Source organism: Homo sapiens, chromosome 22 (genome assembly GCF_000001405.40).
Source record: "Homo sapiens chromosome 22, GRCh38.p14 Primary Assembly".
Classification (NCBI taxonomy): Eukaryota; Metazoa; Chordata; class Mammalia; order Primates; family Hominidae; genus Homo; species Homo sapiens.
In genome coordinates, this window is record NC_000022.11 from 36,280,913 (window position 1) to 36,297,574 (window position 16,662).

The 16,662-nt window shown below is 55.6% G+C and overlaps 1 protein-coding gene and 1 non-coding gene across 2 annotated transcripts in view, besides 1 other annotated feature; both read right to left on the reverse strand.

Moving 5' to 3' along the window:
* The window catches only part of MYH9 (myosin heavy chain 9), a 106,688-nt gene continuing 90,393 nt past the window's right edge, over positions 368 to 16,662 (reverse strand). The window contains exons 25-41 of the mRNA NM_002473.6: positions 15,931 to 16,102; positions 14,593 to 14,805; positions 14,020 to 14,164; positions 13,180 to 13,386; positions 12,847 to 12,951; positions 12,417 to 12,569; positions 11,074 to 11,322; positions 8,173 to 8,385; positions 7,815 to 8,027; positions 7,340 to 7,501; positions 5,806 to 5,934; positions 4,953 to 5,041; positions 4,746 to 4,869; positions 4,209 to 4,417; positions 3,491 to 3,599; positions 3,181 to 3,353; positions 368 to 1,873 (exon numbers count right to left, since the gene is read on the reverse strand). Coding sequence (NP_002464.1) covers positions 1,756 to 1,873; positions 3,181 to 3,353; positions 3,491 to 3,599; positions 4,209 to 4,417; positions 4,746 to 4,869; positions 4,953 to 5,041; positions 5,806 to 5,934; positions 7,340 to 7,501; positions 7,815 to 8,027; positions 8,173 to 8,385; positions 11,074 to 11,322; positions 12,417 to 12,569; positions 12,847 to 12,951; positions 13,180 to 13,386; positions 14,020 to 14,164; positions 14,593 to 14,805; positions 15,931 to 16,102 — 2,783 coding nt within the window. The 3' untranslated portion in view covers positions 368 to 1,755. The remainder of the gene's footprint in view (positions 1,874 to 3,180; positions 3,354 to 3,490; positions 3,600 to 4,208; positions 4,418 to 4,745; positions 4,870 to 4,952; positions 5,042 to 5,805; positions 5,935 to 7,339; positions 7,502 to 7,814; positions 8,028 to 8,172; positions 8,386 to 11,073; positions 11,323 to 12,416; positions 12,570 to 12,846; positions 12,952 to 13,179; positions 13,387 to 14,019; positions 14,165 to 14,592; positions 14,806 to 15,930; positions 16,103 to 16,662) is intronic.
* Positions 5,484 to 5,996: an enhancer, noted in NCBI's record as "H3K4me1 hESC enhancer chr22:36682442-36682954 (GRCh37/hg19 assembly coordinates)". NCBI's record gives its function as "activates a minimal SCP1, AML or CMV promoter by ChIP-STARR-seq in naive H9 embryonic stem cells {active_cell/tissue: H9 hESC(naive)}" and the evidence as "EXISTENCE:reporter gene assay evidence [ECO:0000049][PMID:30033119]".
* Positions 5,935 to 5,995, reverse strand: MIR6819 (microRNA 6819). The gene has a single exon (NR_106877.1). It is a non-coding gene; the product is annotated as a microRNA 6819 (primary transcript).

The window sequence follows — 16,662 nt, forward strand, 5'->3', positions numbered from 1 at the left end:
TACAGGCACACACCACCACGCCCGGCTAATTTTTTTTGTATTTTTAGTAGAGATGTTGGCCAGGCTGGTCTTGAACTCCTGACCTCAGGTGATCCCCCTGCCTCAGCCTCCCAAAGTGCTGGGATTACAGGCGTGAGCCACCGTGCTCGGCCTTGAACCAAGGTTTCTAAGATGCTCTTAGCCTCCTTGGATCTGGCCTAGCCCACCTTTCCATCTTAGCTTTTCTGCACAACCGCCCACAGCTAGCTCAGCCTACGCCTCAGCCAATCTGGTTCCCGACGATGCAGAGCCGGCATTGGCTGCAGAAGCCAGGCCTAGTCCTGTCCAGGGCCCCCTGGCCGCAGACAAATGCTACAGACACGGCTCGTAGCACATGGTTCTCTTTATTGTGATGCTCAGTGGAAAACATCTGTAAACCAGCTTACTGTAGTGGTGACAGCTGCAACACATGCTAAGGCACTTTTATTATATAAAAAAGGGGGTAGGGTGGGAGTTTCACTCACTCCTTTGTGACAGCAACTGGGACCTGAATTCAGAGCTTTGTAGGCATATGCAGCTTTTATATCACTTCATGATTTGAGAGTTTGTTTCCTTTAAAAAAAAAAAATGCCTTCTTGCCGTAAGTCTCAATGCAGCATATACAAAACAGTTAGGAATACAAGTAAATTCGGCAACCAGTGTAGACCAGTGAGGACGAGCTACTCTCTTCTAAACAAAGGCAGTGAGAAAGACTCGGAATTTTATCATTTATTACAAGAAAGGGGAAAAAAGAAAACCTTATTTTGCTTTCAAAAATACCTGTGCAGGTGGCAGATTTTTAAACTATACTGAGTCAACGGTGCAGGTAAACCACCCTCGGGCCCAGTCCTAGAGTAGACACAAGATCGCCTGGGAGGGCCGCTGGCCCCTCTAACGCTCTGGCTGTCAGACTTGGGACAAGTCCCTTAACCATTAAATATATTTGGTCCCCAAGAGTGTTGGGAGAAGCCACTGGAAGGCTGCTGGCCTTTCCAGCTTGACCCCGACAGCCTTGCTGTGGCAGAGGCAGGCTGTCCTCGGTAAAGGAGGGGAGGGGGCATTGCACTTGAGACATTTTAGAATCAGGAGGGAGACAGCGGACAGTGGCGCTGCCTGGGACAGGGTGGGGAGGAATCCACTCCTCCCCCCACCCCAGCCTTCTGTGCCCTGCACAGAGGTGGAGGCCCAGGGCCTGCTCCTTCTGGACCGCCCAGAGCCATGGGAGTGGGAGGCCCAAGGGGCAGAGGTGTGTGAGGTCACCACGTGTGATTGCAAACAGCAAAGAAAGGAGGAGGAGTGGGGGCGCTGGTGGCAGACGTCAGGGAGGCTGACGACTGCGGGGGCTCCGACTACCAAAAGGCCTCAGTCTGAAGAAAAATAGATTCATAGAAAACTCTGGCCCCTCCCCGGGGGCCTGCCCTGCTCGCCTCAACATCTTGTGCTTTTTGGCAAGAGAGGGCTGAGGAGCCTGCTGGTCGCTCTCTGCCTGGGCCCGGGCCCTGTCTCTTTGGTATCAGATTCTGAGCAGGGGAGGGAGCTGGAAGGGGATGCAGCAGAGGAAGCCAAATGCCCTCAACAACACCTGGAGGGAAACGGGATGGGGGGACGGGGCGGAGGGCAGGAGGAGGCATGTTCACAGCAGTCCCAAGAAGGTGGGGAGAGGCGTGCTGCGGGGTCTGGGAAGGGGAGGCTGTGGTGTCTGTCTGTCCATCCATCTCAGGCTGCAGGAGAAGAGGCTTATTCGGCAGGTTTGGCCTCAGCCCCATCCGCTTTGCCATCTACCTCTTCGTCGGAGCCATCCCCGGCGCCTTTCCGGGCCATTCGGCGGGGCACGACAAACGGCAGGTCCCCGCGCCTGGGGGCAGAGGTAGAAGCAGAGGGTCAGCGGGCCCGGCCAGGCCAGGGGCGGCCACAGCACAGCCCACACATCTCAAAGTGAATTCGAGAGGGAAACCAGGTGCCTGGCTGCTCCCACCAGAAAGAAGCAAAGTGGAGTCTTGGGAGCCACAGCTGAGCTAGACAGGACCACTCTCAGGAAAGCAGGCAAAGCTTCCCGCAAAATGTTTAGGTGTCGGACATCTTCACACACAACAGTAGCACAAAAACAGCTCAGGCAAACAGGACCAATTACAACAGGAAAGGCACAAAAGTAAGTGTAAAATGCCATCCTCTGTTGCAACTCCTATAAAACCGGTGAAACCAAGACAGGTAAACAGGTGTGCCTGTTCACACAGAGTACAAAGACAGGCACCCTCTTTCTACCACATGGCAGAAAATTCATATACAATACTGACTACTTATGCTTACAAAAAGAGCCCCATGAAGGCCTGGCACGGTGGCTCATCCTTGTAATCTCAGCTCTCTGGGAGGCCGAGGCGGGTGGAGCACCTGAGGTCAGGAGTTTGAGACCAGCCTGACCAACATGGTAAAACCCCGTCTCCACTAAAAATACAAAAATTAGCCGGGCATAGTGGTGCATGCCTGTAATCCCAGCTACTCCAGGGGCTGAGGGAGGAGAATCGCTTGAACCCGGGAGGCAGAGGTTGCAGCAAGCCGAGATTACACCATTGCACTCCAGTCTGGGCAACAAGAGCGAAACTCCGTCTCAAAAAAAAAAAACAAAAAAAATAAAAAAAACACGTAAACACATAAGAAAAAAACATGTAAGAAATGAGTATCTCAAAAAACACAAAATGAGAGTCTCAAAAAACCCACAAAAAAACACGTAAGAAATGAGAATCTCAGAGAATAAGATCCTCTGCTTCAAACATTCACTACTTCTTGAGTGTTAACACTCCCTGAGAAACGCAAAGGAGCGTTTTTAACCTCTGTAGGCATTGCTCATGAGGCTCACATTCGTTTTGCAGATATTTAACTGAGGCACCTAACATGTGCCAGGACTGGGCCAGGTGGCCTCAAGCAACTTCCAATTCAAAAGACAATAGACTTTTAGGACAGCTGGGAATAAACTACCTAGAGTTTACTGTGTGTTCAAAACACTAAGCTAAAGCCTCAAAGGCAAGGAGCCAGAAGGGGCAGGGATTGCTTTGTGCAGTCCTTTCTTGGTGACATTCGTGCCTTGCTTGTGGGCTCTGGTTGAGGAACAAGCTACCTTTTGAGAGAAGTGCCGAGGCAAAGGGGCGGGTGGGCAGGGCGGCTCACCTGAGCTTGTTCTTTAGGGAGCTGACTTCGCGGTTCATGGCATCGGCCGTCTCAGTGGCGTCCTCCAGCTCGCGCTGCAGTTTCCGGCGGGAGGCGTTGGCCCGCTGGGCCTCCTCTTCGGCCTCCTCCAGCTGCCGCTTGAGCTGCTTCAGGCGGGTAGATGCCTTGTCGGCCTGCGGAGATGGACGTGTGGCCCGTGGCCCCGGTTAGGGGCTCTGGGCGTGCAGCCAGTCAGCCCCACTGCCCTGCCTGTCACCCCATCTGCTGCCCAGCCCCGCTGCCCTTCTCACTGCCCCACCAGCGCCCACACCTGGTCCTTGTACTGCTCGGCGTTCCTCCGCTCGTCATCCACCTGCAGCAGCACATCCTTCAGCTTCTTCTCGGTCCGACGCACCTGTTTGCAGGCTGCCTGGCGCTCCCTGCATGACAGACAAGGTGGCTCAGAGGGAACACCCTCCTTCAGAGGGTCCGGCCAACAAGCCCTAACCAGGACCACCCATTCCCCGGGGCTCACTGGCATCTAGGGATCACGTAGGGAGGCCTTTGCTAGACACCTATGTGTACCCGGCTTCTTACGACGGGCACTGCAAATAGCCCCATTTACAGATGAGGAAATGGGCTCAGGTAAGGGAAGCGACACACCTCAAAGAGCATCTATGTAACTGGAAAAGAGGTCTGGGGGCCTACTGTAAACCCCATTCCCTCCAAGGAAGTCTCAGTCCTGCTGAGCCCATAGGACAACTGTCCTAGTGGGCAGGACCCCCCTGTACCTCCTGCTCTGATTCACTCTCAGACACAGCCACCAAAACTCCTGGCTTTAGAGGTGGAACAGAGAATCCTGTTCAAACCCCACAAGCTCCCCCAACCACCCAACCTGTGGAAGGGATGAGGGCCCCATCAGGAGGGAGGGAAACAGCCCCAGGCTCAGGAGACAGAGAGCTGGTTGTGGCCCAGATTTGGGCAGGACTGCAGGGGGGCCAGAGTTTTTTCCAGGACAGCTGGGGTTGGGCGGGGCCAGGGGCACGTACTTGGTCTCGTTGTCCAGCTGCTCCTCCAGCTGTGCAATCTTGGCCTCGAGGGCGGTGATGGAGGCCTTGTACTTGGACTTGACAGTGCCCTCCATCTCCTGCAGCTTGACCTTAAGCTCCTTGTTCTGGCGTTCCAGCTGCTGCCGAGCATTCTCGTTCTTCTGGGCGTGGCTGCGCTCCAGGTTCAGGTCGGTGTTGATCTGGTCGATCTGCAGAAGAAGGGCCAGTGACCTTGGGGAGGGCTGGGGCCCTGGCTGGAGGGCATGAGCAGGGCCAGAGGAAGGTGGCAGCAGGATCCCACCAAACCCTTGGGGTCCAGAGTCTTGGGTCTCCCAGAAAAGGGAAGATTAGAAACTTCTGAACACCCAACACAGAAGCCAGAGGGGGACCTTTCAGGTCCAGGTGCCTGGACATTTTCCCCTAAGCGCCTGGGGAGCAGCTGGCACTTGGCCTGTGCTTCTGCCGGCTGGGTCCAAGGCCAGCTCTGCCGTGGTGGCTCCAGCCAGAGCCCAGAGTGGGAGAAGTCCTGGCACCCACCTGCAGGTTGGCCTTCTTCAGCCGGTCGTTGATCAGCTCCGTGTTGCCCTGCTCCTCCTCCAGCTCCTCCTCCAGCTGGGCGATGCGGGCCTCCAGACGCCGCTTCTCCTCTAACGCCAGGGCTCTGCGGGGTGGGCGGGAGAAGTGAGGGGCCTACCCTGGGGACACACCTGGTCCCCCCCAACTCTGCCCCCTCACTCAGCTCACCCTTTGCCGCTGCTGTTGGCGATCTCGTCAGCCAGCTCATCCCGCTCCTGCTGGGCCTGGCGCTTGGCACGCTCCGCGGCTGCCAGTTCCTGCCACAAAGACCCAGAGTGTGACCTAAAGGCAGCCACAGCCCCACAAGACCATCCTTCCCAGCCCCAGGCACCCTCCCCTCAAGCCCTTCCCCAGGCCCACCTCCCCACGAAGCCCTTCCTCCAGAAACCCTCTAGCTCACAGGGCTGGTGCCCCCCTGAAGATATAGCTTAAACACCATATGTTTATAAAACTCTTACATTTAAGTGCTAGGAATCAAGCCAGGTGCCAGGGTATGGCGATAAGTAAGAAGTGTCCTGGCCTAACCAGGGAGACCACGTGGACAGAGTCACTCAGGGCGGCCCCTCCCTGTTCTGGGTAAGCCAGAGCTTGGAGTCAGCTCTGGAGGCCACAGGCAGATGGCTACACCCTGGACGCACTCGCAGCCGGCACATCACGCTGCAGGGCACCCTCCAGACCTGGGAAACACTTCAGGACGGGCTCAGGTGCGACGGGCAGGGCGGCCGAGGGGACGCTCAGACCCCTTCTCACCAGGCAGCATTCACAGCAGGAGGTGGTGGTGGCCACAAAGCCTCATCTCATGTGAGGGATGCCAGTTTCACACACACACACACTCTGATCATACGAGGGAGCCCCGCTATGAAACGGAACCCTGGAGGGAATCCTTATGTAACCTGAGAGCCATCCCCAGCCAATTCCTGGAGCCCAGTAGGACTCCAGCCCTGTCCTCAGCTGAAAGCCCCACGCTGCCACCTGCTGGCCGCAGGGCAGCGGTGCCGCTCTCCATTGCAGCCCCACCCACCTCCTGCAACTGGATCATCTCGGCCTCCATGCTCTTCAGCTTCTTCTCGTTCTCTTTGGCCTGGGCCAGGATCTCCTCACGAGAGGCGCGGGTGTCATCCAGCTCGCGCATGCAGTCCTTCATCTGGGCCTGGGGTGGGGACAGAGGCTTGGCACCCCACCCAGCTCCTTGGCCCTCCACCCCAACCCTCATGGGTCACCTCGCCAACAGGGCTCATGGCTGGTGCTCCACTCAATGCTGTATTTAACCAACTAACCGTGGTGACAGGGCAAAAAGGCAACTAAAGACAATCATCTGTGTATCCCACCCCGTAATGCACACTTTGACAGTGTTCGTCACCGTGGACGTGAGCCCAAGCTGAGCTTCATTTTCTACTTTCTGTCCCCTCCTGTGGGCCGGAAGCCAGTGCCCATGGTGCCACCCCTAATGCGCACCTGCCACTCAAAACCAGTGCCCAGCCTGCCGGTCCATCCCCACCACAGGCAGGAAACACCTTTCCTTTTGTTATTCTCCTGTTACTTCTTTTAACACTAAAGACCTTTGTCAAATAGCCTTTTTTTCCTTTTGCAGATAAATCCGAAATTGAGATTCCCCAAATCAAAGAGAGTGACTGGCTGTGTGCAGCCCGACCACACCAGTAAAAAAATGCCACCAGCAATCAGAGCATCTATGCCCACAACCTTGACCACAATGAAGTTTTAAAGTTTTTGTGGGTTTTTTTTTTACACTTAACATTTTTTTTTTGGCCGGGCGCAGTGGCTCATGCTTGTAATCCCAGCACTTTGGGAGGCCGAGGCGGGTGGATCACAAGGTCAGGAGATTGAGACCATCCTGGCTAACATGGTGAAACCCCGTCTCTACTAAAAATACAAAAATTAGCCGGGCGTGGCGGCGTGCGCCTGTAGTCCCAGCTGCTGGGGAGGCTGAGGCAGGAGAATGGCGTGAACCCGGGAGGCGGAGCTTGCAGCAAGCCGAGATCATGCCACTGCACTCCAGCCTGAGCGACAGAGCGAGACTCCGTCTCAAACAAACAAACAAAAAAAAATTTGTTAAACTAAGGTTATTCTTGTTACATGATATGGCGTATCAGAGCTGTTTTTACGTGTTAATTATTCTTTAATTATTAGTGAGGTGAAGATTTCCAAGTATGTGTCCCACACTCCGGGCTGCTTCTTGGAACCATCGCCCCAGAGCCCAGAAGGCTGAAGGGTGTCAGGACCCGGGTGATTCTGGAAGTCTGCATTAAGTGAGACCTTCTTGAACTCCACCCATGTCTAGGCTTGTACTTGTTTGCTTCTGTGTTTTATGTACCCAGTCATACACCGTTTTGCAAGTTTGCTGTTGGACTATCATGTTTCCACTCACCTCTGAGCCTCTGAGTCTCTGTCAGTGAGATGGGGCTGGAAGCACCCAGGACCTTCCCAGGAGGTGCCACCCTGCCAGGTTCCCGCCCTGGGCCGAGCCCTGGCACCTTCATATGTAGTTGGCTCAGTCGGGTGCCGCCCACCCTCACCTGGGCCCCGCCCACCCTTACCTGCAGCTTCCGCAGCTGTTTGATGGCTTCGTCCCGGTTCTTGTTGGCCGAGTCGATGTGCGCCTCCAGGTCCTTCAGGTCCATCTCCAGCTTCTTCCGGGCGGCCACTGCCATCGAGCGCTGCTTCCTCTCGTCCTCCAGCTCTGCCTCCATCTCCCGCACCTGGGGGAAGGAACATCAACAACTTGGGAAGCTGGACCCACTGGGAGACCCTGCCCTAGCTCTGAACTCAGGAGCCTCAGGCCAGTTCTGCAGGATCCATGGGGCCTCGGGAAACCAGTGGGGATTACTGACCATAAGAACTCTAAGAAAGTGAGTCACTGAACCCCGAGACAGGAGGCTAGAAAGAAGGAATATGGGAGGGGAGGCGTGGTCAAGGGGCCCTAACACAATCCAGGTGGAAGGAGAGAACAGAAGCCTGCGTGAAGCCAAGGCAGCCTTGGGCACCCATGGGGTAGCAGGAGGCCATGCACACCTGTCTGACCAGCTGCTTCTTCTTCTCCTCGCTCTGCTCGTCCCGGCCCTGCAGGTCCCGCTCGAACTGGGCCTTCATGGCCTGCAGGTTGACCTCCAACCGCAGCTTGGCATCTTCGGTGGCCTGCAGCTCGTCCTCCAGCTCTTCCAGCTGCGTCTTCATCTCCTCCACCTGCTGCTCTAGGGCCCGCTTGGACTTCTCCAGCTCGTGGACCTGAGCCCCAGAGAGCCCAAGTCAGGAGCAAAGGGACTGGCAGGTACCTGGGTCTGCGCGACCCGGAGTCTGTGCACACACCGACCCTCTGTGATGACCCCACTCGGGCCCTTCCCAAGACCTGGCTGCCAGGCCCAGGACTCACACTCTTGCCCACATCATCCTTGGAGCTCATAAGGTCCTCCATCTCCGTGCGGAACTGCTTGTTGAGCCGCTCCAGCTCCGCCTTCTGCTCCATGGCTTCCTCCAGGGCCCGGGCCAGCGACAGAGCCTTGGTCTCCTTCTCTCGGGCCTCCGCCTCAGCCCGGTCGCGCTCCTCTGCATACTTGGCAGAGATGGTCTTCTCCTCCGCCAGGAGCTGGGAAAGAGGTGGGCACCATGAGGCTCAGAGCTACGGCCCCCAGCAGGGCAGGGCAGCTGGGCCTAAGCTCCCTGGGGAAGGAGGAGCCCAGAGGCCACGGTGGAGAGGAGCAGGCCTAGGAAGCACAGGCCCAGGGCTGTGCCCAGGACAATACACACAGTCCCGTGCATCCTCATGATGGGATGACTGCCGACTGGAGCAGGCACTACTGCGAACACCATGTTGTAACGTCTGTTTAATTTTCATCACTTACTAATCGCAACCCTTTATGGCACGCTGCCCCTTCCATGAGAGCCCTCCAAACCTGTAAGAGCTTTGGTTCTCCTGAACCACAGCTGGCATTTGGTTGGCACTTTTCACGAAGTGAATGCCAAGCTGGCTGCCAAGAAGCCTGAACCCCATTTGTGGTCTTCTCTAATGACAGCTGCTGTCCCCTGGCATCTGTTCTCTGTGTGCACCCACCTGGCTCTATCCTATTTCCCCACCTTCCCTTCCTTTTGGCCCAAACCTTAATTATCCCATGGGTTGCTGACCATTTCCTAAAGGGCCAGATAGTGCATTCTTTAGAGTATGCAGGCCCTACAGTCTCTGCAGCAATGGCTCAACCCCACTACCACAGCACAAAGCAACCAGAGACAACATGAGAACCATGGAGCGTGGCTGTGTTCAGTCTATCGTTCCCTACAAAATGCAGGGGCCGGATCCGGCTACCACAGTTGGCTGCCCGATGTCTTCTACTGTTCTATCCTGCCCCCGAGTCCACATCCCCCTCAGCTGCTCTCAGATCTTTTGGAATAAGGAAGTGATATGAATGCATAAATAAATCGTTTAAAAGACAGTCAAACCGCAGGAGTTTGAGACCAGCCTGGGCGATATGGTGAGATCCCTGTCACTATGAAAAACATCTAAAAATTAGCTGGGTGTGGTGGTGGTGCACGCCTGTGGTCCCAGCCACTCAGGAAGCTGATGTGGGAGGATCACTTGAGCTGTGGTTGCACCACGGCACCCCAGCCTGGGCAACAGACAGAGACAGTCTCCAAAAAAAAAAAAAAAAAAAACCCAAACTATTTTAAAAAAACCCAAACTATAATTAAATAATTATAATAATGTAATGATATAATGATAATTAAAGTGATTTTAACTCAGTGCTCAATGGAGCCCAGGCTGGAGTGCAGTGGCGTGATCTCGGCTTGCTACAGCCTCCACCTCCCAGCCGCCTGCCTTGGCCTCCCAAAATGCCAAGATTGCAGCCTCTTCCCGGCCGCCACCCCATCTGGGAAGTGAGGAGCGTCTCTGCCTGGCCGCCCATCGTCTGGGATGTGAGGAGCCCCTCTGCCTGGCTGCCCAGTCTGGAAGGTGAGGGGTGTCTCTGCCCGGCCGCCATCCCATCTAGGAGGTGAGGAGCGCCTCTTCCCGGCCGCCATCACATCTAGGAAGTGAGGAGCGTCTCTGCCCGGCCGCCCATCGTCTGAGATGTGGGGAGCGCCTCTGCCCCGCCGCCCCGTCTGGGATGTGAGGAGTGCCTCTGCCCAGTGGCGACCCCGTCTGGGAGGTGAGGAGCATCTCTGCCCGGCCGCCCCGTCTGAGAAGTGAGGAGACCCTCTGCCTGGCAACCGCCCCGTCTGAGAGGTGAGGAGCCCCTCCGCCCTGCAGCCGCCCCGTCTGAGAGGTGAGGAGCCCCTCCGCCCGGCGGCCACCCCGTCTGGGAAGTGAGGAGCGTCTCCGCCCGGCAGCCACCCCATCCGGGAGGGAGGTGGGGGGGTCAGCCCCCCGCCAGGCCAGCCGCCCCGTCCGGGAGGTGAGGGGCGCCTCTGCCCGGCCGCCCCTACTGGTTAGTGAGGAGCCCCTCTGCCAGGCCACCACCCCGTCTGGGAGGTGTACCCAACAGCTCATTGATAGCGGGCCATGATGACAATGGCGGTTTTGTGGAATAGAAAGGGGGGAAAGGTGGGGAAAAGATTGAGAAATCGGATGGTTGCCGTGTCTGTGTAGAAAGAAGTATACATGGGAGACTTTTCATTTTGTTGTGTACAAGAAAAATTCTTCTGCCTTGGGATCTTGTTGATCTGTGACCTTACCCCCAACCCTGTGCTCTCTGAAACATGTGCTGTGTCCACTCAGGGTTAAATGGATTAAGGGCGGTGCAAGATGTGCTTTGTTAAACAGATGCTTGAAGGCAGCATGCTCTTAAGAGTCATCACCACTCCCTAATCTCAAGTACCCAGGGACACAAACACTGCGGAAGGCCAAAGGGTCCTCTGCCTAGGAAAACCGGAGACCTTTGTTCACTTGTTTATCTGCTGACCTTCCCTCCACTATTGTCCTATGACCCTGCCAAATCCCCCTCTGCGAGAAACACCCAAGAATGATCAATAAAAAAATTAAAAAAAAAAAAAAAAAAAAAAAGACAGTCAAACCAGTTCATTAGAGAAAATCTGAAAAATGTAAAAAATCAGAAAGGAAAAGTCACTCCTCAACCCATCGCATGAAGACGCCCTCTTCCGCTGGCCTTCTCCCTGGGACCCTCAACAAGCCAGAGCCTGAGGGTCCTCTAAGCACTGGCCCCGCACGGCCCCTCCCCGGCGAGACCCTGAGGGAGCCCAGGCTTTCTCTGATGGGCCCTTTGCTTTGGACTCAGTGCTTGAAGGAGAGGAAATGCAAAGGATGGGGCCAACGGCCACACACCTGGTCAAACTTCTTCTGCTTCTTCTCCAGGTTGCACGCGCTCTGGCGCTGGTGGTCCAGGTCCACCAGCAGGTCGTCCAGCTCCTGCTGCAGCCGCGTCTTGGTCTTCTCCAGCTTGTCGTAGGCGGCCACCTTCTCCTCGTGCCGCTGGCTCAGGCCCTCCAGGTCCTTCTGGAGCTTCCTCTTCACCTCCTCAGCAGTTTCCAGGCACCCCACACTGTCCTCCATCTTCTTTTTCATGTCGGCCACCTGGGCAGGAGCAAGGAGTAAGCAGATGCCCGAGATGGCACCTGCTCAGGTGGCACACCCGTCCCTGGGGCAGCTGGGAGCCTGCCTGCCACACCGTGGAAGGGGCACCAGGGATCTGCCCAGTTATGAAACCGCCTCCCCCAGTCACTTCCCTCTCCACAGGGGCGAGACAAATGGAGCTTCTGCAAAGGGGCATCTGTCTACTGTGTGAAGCCCGGGGGAGGCTGACCCCCAGGCCCGCTGTGGGGGCTCCCAGCCCACATCCACACCAAGCCTCTTGCTCTACGGAGACTGCTCCCAGAGAGCAGGGCCAGTGCCCTGTAGGGTGTCCACGGGGTCCCCATCACCCAGCCCCATCCTTGCACTTGGAGATAAACCCACAATCAGGCACGCTCGCGGGCTACTCCTACCCTGACTGTGGAATGGACTCCCAGCCCATCCCGAGGTGGTTCAGGCCTTCTGGCCTGGCACATGGAGGCCCAAGATAGGATCTAGAGCAGGGGCTCTGAAACCATATTAGGCTACGGACCCCTTCGCAGTCTAGAGAGGCCAAGGGACTCCTTCTCATGACAATGTTGTAACAGGCATGAAATAAACATGGGATCAGCAGGGCAACCAGTACAGAAAAATGCAGTTGTCACACATTCTAAAAAACCATGGCTCAGGAAGCCACGTGCTGCTAGATAGCACATCAGATAACAAACAGCGCAGGCCTGGGACCCATGAGGCCAAGGAGCTCGGCCACAACCCTGACAGGGTAACTGGCCATTTCTACAGATGATGACGGCACAGGGACTGCCACCACCATGGCTTGCTGCCTACATCCATAATGGAAGCAATGCTGAATTTCAGCTAAAGACTGGTGAAAATAAAGGTGTAAAATAGTGAAAATAGTGGTGTCCCCCATCTAAGTCCACAGATCCCTGGATTCCTTTCCTTGAGAGCACTGATGTGGGAGAGCACGGTTGGCTTCCCAGGGGGAGAGCAGCAATGGGCCGGCCCAGCGGGCAGGGCTGTCCTGCAGTGCCCAGGCCAGTGCCCGGCCAGCAGCTCCCCAGCCTGCAGAGTCCGGCCGGTCCCCCAGGCCTCCAAACCTGGGCATGGAGGGTGGCGATCTGCTTCTCCAGGTTGTGCTTGGCCTCCTCCTCCTCCTCCAGCTGCTCCCGGAAGGAATTCTTCTCGTCCTCCACCTGCTTGAGCTTGGTGCTCAGGCTCAGCTTCTGCCGGTTCTCCTCCTGCAGCAGCTCCTACTCGCGGGTTGAGAGGGGTGCGGGTGCTTAGGAGGGTGGTGTCCAAAACCCAGGAACCCCACACCCTTGAGGAGAGGGAGGAGCTGGTCCTGCTGATTTAGGGGATGGCCACGTAAAGACCTGGAGGGAGCTGGGAGGACGCAGAGACCCACCCACAGGATGAAGCAGATGAAGGAGAGGATGGGCAATCCGATGGGCTCTGAAGCTAATGTTGCGTGGACACAGAGGCCTTTCTGGAGGGGTCCACCTTCTGGGAACCTGGCGCCACCCCTACCTGAGTGTCCTGCAGCTGGGACTCCAGCGCGGAGAAGTCCTTGGTGAGCTTGCTGGACTTGCTGTCGGACTGGCTGAGAAGCCCGGTCACGTTGTCCAGCTCCACCTGCACCGGGCGGGGAGACACAAAGGACCATGGACCCACCCCCACTGCTCCTGCCCCACCTCATCTCCTTTAGGTAAAGCTGGACCTGAGTCACAAGCTGAACCATGAGGGTCTGAGGAGCCAGTTTGAGAAGAGAGAGAGACAGAGAGCACACATGCACCTGGGGACCTGGGCCACAACTGCTGCTAGGGCCCACTGCCCGCGCCAGGGTCCTGGCGGAGGCCTCACCTGCAGCTTGGTGACCTTGTCGGCCAGCTCTGTGCGCACGCGCTCTCCCTCGTTGAACTTGACCTGCAGCTCCTGCAGCTGCGCCTCCACTTTCTTGCGCTTGTGCTCCGAGTCCCCTTTGCCCTGCAGCAGCACCTTCACCTCGTTGGCCAGCTCCCCCCGCTCGTTCTCCAGAGTCTGCTTTGCCTTCTCGAGGTTTGCTTTCACCTAGCAGGGAAGAAAGCAAAGACGTGAGTGGGGGCCTCCTGACACAAGGCTGGCTGGTCTATCATCACTGGACCCTAGATCCAGACATCGCTGCTTCTGCAGCCCTGACGACGGTGTGCCTGCGTCCTGGACTCAGACGGCTCGGGCCTCATCTGTCCTGTCCTCTTCTCTCTTAGCTGGTGGGTGACACTTGGTTCCTGTCTTCACTGCTTAGGACATCTCACAGCTTCCCCATCTCTAAAATAATACCTGCCCAGCCTTCTGCCCTGGGTAGAGGCCAGGTTCTAGGGCATGGCATTGGTGTTGCAGATGTTAGCAATATTTGTAACGCAATAAGGGGAACTATAATTGTTTGCAGTTAGACTTCCAATAAAGCCTGTCTGAAGTCTGATGTTCAAAGTAACGATGTAATGTTTTCACCCTCAAATAATCACGAGACAGACATACCATAATCCTCCCTTATGAACAGGGAAACTGAGGCACGAGTCACAAAGCCCCTTAGAAGGGGAGCCTGGCCTCAGAACCAGGCAGTTGGGTAGAACCCTGCAACTGCTCTGCAGGACTGGTTTGGATTCTGTGGGCCCAGCACGGGGAACCCTGCCCTCCCCCTGCGGTCTCAGGGAGGCTCCGCACCCGCTTCGTCTGCTCCAGCTGCTCCGCCAGCTCCTCCACGGCCTGTGAGTGCTTCTGCCTCATCTCCTGGATCTGGGCCTCGTGGGTCTTGGCCTCCTCCTCCAGGGTCTTCTTCAGGATGTTCACCTCCTGCTCACGTTTTGACCTGGACAGAGAAATCCCCTCAGAGTGGAGGCCGGGGATGCTGGAGCGAGGCTGTCCCTGGGGCTCTTCCCTGACCAAAGAGAGGCCTGGCCAGGGCACAGGCACTCCAGGCAGCTTTTCTACCCACCGGCCCCTCCTAGCCATCTATCCCATAGCCCAGGCTCAAATACGCCCTGTGAGAGCTTCTGTAGCCTTTCAGCTTTAAAGCCCAGCCTTGCCTCACCCCCAACTTTGAGCCAGGTCCTTCAACAGACTTTCTACTCTGTAGAGAGAAACCGCTGAGGAACCAGCAGCTTCCATGCCTGCTGGTGCCTAAGAGGGCCACGGTGTGTGTGTGTGTGTGTGTGCAGAGGCCCGGGGTCCATGTCTCCAAGCCAAGGCCCCCCTGGCTGCCCTCCCCATCCCGAGGGACTTGGTCCCAGGGCACACCTGAGCTCCTGCTGGGCAGCTGTGGAATCCAGCGTGTCCTCCAACTCTGTTTTCAGAGCCTCTAGCTCTTCCCCAAGGTCCCGTTTCTGCTTCTCAGCTTTATTCCTGGAAGCACGCTCAGACTCCAGGTCTTCCTGGAGTTCAGAGATCTGAGATTCCAGCTCCCGGATCTTCTTGAGGGCCATGTTCTTCTGGGCAGCTTCCTCTTCCACTCTGCCAAAGCGACCAGCAACATCAGTATAAGGAGAGTTTCACCTCCAAGGAGCAGAGTTTGCAGGACAGGCCTGAGAGAGCTGCAGCAGCCAAAGCTGCCTCCTGTGGTCACAATCATGGCACTTAGGATGGCTCTCAGCAGAAACAACATCTGAGACAACCAGATTGAAGGGCAACACCCCTCTGAGAAGCAGAAAACCTCATAGAGGAATCGTTTCAATTTCCAAAGTAAGATTCACTGCTTCAAATATTTTTAAAAGTCAAATGATGTGTTAAATGGGAAGAAAAGGAAATAAAACGCTACACCACAGGACAACTGCAACTCAGTAAAAATACGAATGTGCTACGGACTTTAGATGGTTATGACAGGTCAACGTAGGTTCACCAATTAGAACAGACACAGCACTGTGGTAGGGGATGTTGACTGCAGGGGAGGCGGTGCGTGAGTGGGGCAGTGGATAGATGGAGAATCTTCTGCTGACTCTTCTGTGAATCTAAAACTACTCTAAAAAATAAAGTCTCTTTCTTTTTTTTTTAAACAGAGTCTCGCTCTGTCACCTAGGCTGGAGTGCAATGGCACGATCTTGGCTGACTGCAACCTCTGCCTCCTGGGTTCAAGTGATTCTCCTGCCTCAGCCTCCTGAGTAGGTGAGATTACAGTCGTGTGCCACCACACTGGCGAATTTTTTATATTTTTGGTAGGGATGGGGGTTTCACCATGTTGGCCAGGCTGGTCTCGAACTCCTGACCTCAAGTGATCCACCCGGCTTGGCCTCCCAAAGTGCTGGGATCACAGACGTGAGCCAACGTGCCTGGTCAAGTCTTTTTTTTTTTTTTTTTTTTTTTTAAGTGTGCCTATAGCAAGAAATTAGGAAAGGACTATTGTAGGTGGGTGATAGAGCTGTGGATGACTTTTTTTCAAATTATAAACAAACAAAAGACAAATGAGGCCCCTCACCATGCCCTGAGTGCACAAGAACTGTTTTGCTATGAAATAAATGGCTCTTTTAAGACAACAGTGGAAAGAATGCTCACAGCTCACTAGTGCCGAGAACTAGGGCCAGCAGCAAGCAGGAAGGGCTGGCCCAGGCCACCTGGCCTCAGGCGGGCAGGCGGGGTCCTCACCTGGCCAGGGCGGCCTGGAGCTCCTCCTCTTTCTTGGCCAGCTGCATCTTGAGCTCCGCGATCTGGGCCTGGAGCTCGGCGATCTGGTCGCTGAGGTCTGTGGAGTCTCCCTCCAGCTTCCGGCGGGTCTTCTCCAGCTCCTGTCGCTGCTTCTCCTCCCTGCGGAGGCGCTCTGCAATGCAGGGGGAGCCCACATAGCCCTCAGTGCCATGGGTTCTGTCTCCGTGTCAATTACTTATACAAAATACTGAGCACTCGTTATGAAACGTGTGTCAGGCTTAAAGCATCACAAACACACAGACACTCGCACCCAACTCCTGGATGCAGGAAGAGGACATCACTGCAAACTGCTAGCCCCTGGCATGTCTCTCTCCAACTCACCCCTTGTCCTTCCCTGCCAGGAATTAAGTACTCTCCTAAAGCTGGTGTTTGTAATTCCCTTGGTTCCCTTGAAGGCTGTACCATGTCTGTATCTCTAAAAAACATGTTCAATTGTGTGTGAATCTGAACTTATATAATGGAACTGCCTTGTGTGAATTCCACAGTTGGAATCGCACGGTCAGGGCTCTATGTCTAGCTTTATAACTCTGTGATGTCACTTGGGAAAGCTACTTTCTATACCTCATCTGAATAATAAGCAAAAGGAGACAGCCTACTTCATTAGGATGCTGTGAGGCGCCAATGAGTTACTATCTTAAAAAGCACCTAGAACAGTGCCTGCCTCGTGATGGT